The 2,764-nt window shown below is 37.7% G+C and overlaps 1 protein-coding gene across 4 annotated transcripts in view; it reads left to right on the plus strand.

Annotated features, from left to right (window-relative positions):
• The window catches only part of GCC2 (GRIP and coiled-coil domain containing 2), a 60,210-nt gene that overhangs the window by 55,557 nt on the left and 1,889 nt on the right, over nucleotides 1–2,764 (plus strand). The gene's annotated exons all lie outside the window — the stretch shown is intronic.

Consider the following 2,764-nt stretch of genomic DNA (forward strand, 5'->3'; position numbering starts at 1 on the left):
TCTATATCTTCTTTGCTCCCAGACTGTGTTACAGTTTACAGATCTGAATATTGTCACTTGTACACCATACATACACAGAGGTCTAAAACTCTCTACAAGTAAATAAAGACGAAAAAAAAGCCCAGCAACCCAATAGGAAAATAGGCCAAGCCTGTTATAGGCTTTTTGATCATCTCCAGACTGGCAGGCAGAGAATGCATACTCACACTGTAAGTGCCTGATTTGATTTGCTGAGGATATAGAACCTTATCAGAAAACAACCTTCCAAGGCAAGAGCAAATGCATCCTATCTTAGCACAGCTTTTCTCCAATTCTTATTTACCTAAGGAGATGAATAGCTGCCAGGAACATTGTTTGCACAAGGGCAGGGGCCTGCCAGATCTGAGAACACAGCAAAATTTTTGTCAAAAATCTTATATTCAGCTTACACCATTCATTTCAGGGGAACATACAACAGTCTGCATTTCAGTTTAGGGAAATGTTTACAGTCGTCTGGTTCTCTTTATTCTTGGGAACAAGGTTACCTCACTTGAAATACATAACCAGTGCCAAGTTGTCCATCCCTAAGCAATATCGCTTCCTCCTACTTTCTAGAAGTTCTTCAGATTGTGGAAGACAGACTTCTCAGAATTCTTTGCCCTCATTCCCTCCTCCAGAAATTCATGCCTTTGTATAATCTCTTCCCCTTGAGAGCCAGTAGGCTAACCTAATGAGTTATTTTTAACCAGTAGAATACAGCAAAAATGATAGATTACAAGAGATTGTGGCTTCTATCTTGCTAGCGGACTCTCTGTCTTCTCTGCTTGCACACTTTGTTGAAGCAAGCTACCATCCCATAGGCAAGGAACACAGGCCATCAGTTTAGCGGCCTTGAGGAACTAAATTCTTCCAACTACCACATAAGTTTGGAAGTAGATTCTTCTCCAGTCCAGCCTTCAGATGAGACCCCAGCCATGCCAACATCTTGATTGCAGCCCTGTGAGAGTCCTTGAAATAGAACCATTTCTGATCTCCTGACCCACAGAAACTGTGAAATAAATATGTGTTAAGGTACTAACTTTGTAATTTGTTACGCAGCAGATTGTAAATAACACGCAGATAAAACCAGACAGAACAGAAAAATAAAATGGCTTTAACTCTAGAAAATTTCCCCATGTAAAATTTTGAAAATGCTACTCTGCCTAAGGTCAAACTGACATACATATATACGTATGAAAACACAGAAAGGTGTCTGGAAGGATAATACCAAATTAAATCTTTATCCAAGAGGAATGAAAACCAGTATTCACACAAAAACCTATGCACAAACCTTGTGAATATATTAAAAACCAGTGACTTATGCACTTTAAAAAGGTGAATTATGTGGTATATGAATTATATCTCCAAAACATTTAATTAAAAACCTGTACACAATTATTCATAGAAACTTTCTTTAAAATTGCTAAAAACGAGGAAGATCTCAGTTATCCTTCAACTGGCAAATGAATAAACTGGTACAGCCATGCAATTGAATACTGCTCAGCAATAAAAAAGAATGCACTGCCAGTACAGCAACATGGATAATTCTCAAATGCCTTATGCCAGTTGACAGAGGTCAGACTCAAAATACTATGTACAGTGTGATTCTACTTATATGACACTCTGAAAAAAGCAGAACTATAAGGACAGAAAACAGGTTAGCGGTTGCCAAGGAGTGGGAGAAGCAGCCAGGGAGAACTTTGAGGAGGTGAAAATGTGCCAGGCCTTGGTCGGTGGTGGTACGTAACTGTGCATTTGTCAAGACTCAGTGCTATATGCTGAAAAGGGCAGGTTTTACTATAAGTAAGTTGTACCTCAATAAACATGATTTTTAAATGATTAAAACTTTGGTTTTTGTTTGTTTTGGTTCAGTTTTAAGGTTTACCATAAATCTATTGGTTTTAGATTCTAAGTTGTATATAAGCTTCTGTTTTAAAAGAATTTTTTTTTAAATCCTCTTATCGTCAACAATACTTAGTTGTGCTGGAAATTTTATTTTGGTATTGTTTAATGGAGAAAGACAAATAATGTTCGAGAACAGACATTGATTCATAACATCAAAGTATATTGTGAGAAGATGGTATTTCAGAATAGAAGAAGAATTTCTTATGTGCTGGTAGGATTGTTTGTAAATAATCATTTCTGCATGATTTTCATAGCTGGATTTCTTTAATAAAGCCATTTAAAGGTTAAGTTCTAGATTGCTTCATGTTGCTTATCAATGTTTTAAAGCTAAAATAGAAAATTAGCTGTTAAGTTGGCTCAACCGGAAATTCAGTATATCCTTTAAAAAGAGAAATTTAGTAAGTAGTGTGTCTAAAGAATGACATATGGATGGGTACAGTGGCTCGTGACTGTAATCCCAACAATGTGAGGCTGAAGTGGGAGGATCACTTGAGCCCAGGAATTTGAGACCAGCCTGGAAAACAGTGAGACCCGCATCTCCACAAAAAAAACAAAAAATTACCCAGGCATGGTGGCACACACCTTGTGGTCCCAGTTGCTTGGGAGGCTGAGGTGGGAGAATCACTTGAGCCTGGGAGATCAAGGCTGCATTGAAGTCTCATCACGCCACTGCACTCCAGCCTGGGTGACAGAGCAAGACCCTGTCTCAAAAAAAAAGAACCCCCCCCCCCAAAAAAAAGGCATGTAATCAGTAAAAAACACATTATTTGCTTATATTGTAGAGTGATTCTAAAATATAGATTTTACATTGAGAAATTTTAATACTCTCTTTTTTCTTTTA

This window comes from Homo sapiens, chromosome 2 (assembly GCF_000001405.40).
Source record: "Homo sapiens chromosome 2, GRCh38.p14 Primary Assembly".
NCBI classification, from domain to species: Eukaryota; Metazoa; Chordata; class Mammalia; order Primates; family Hominidae; genus Homo; species Homo sapiens.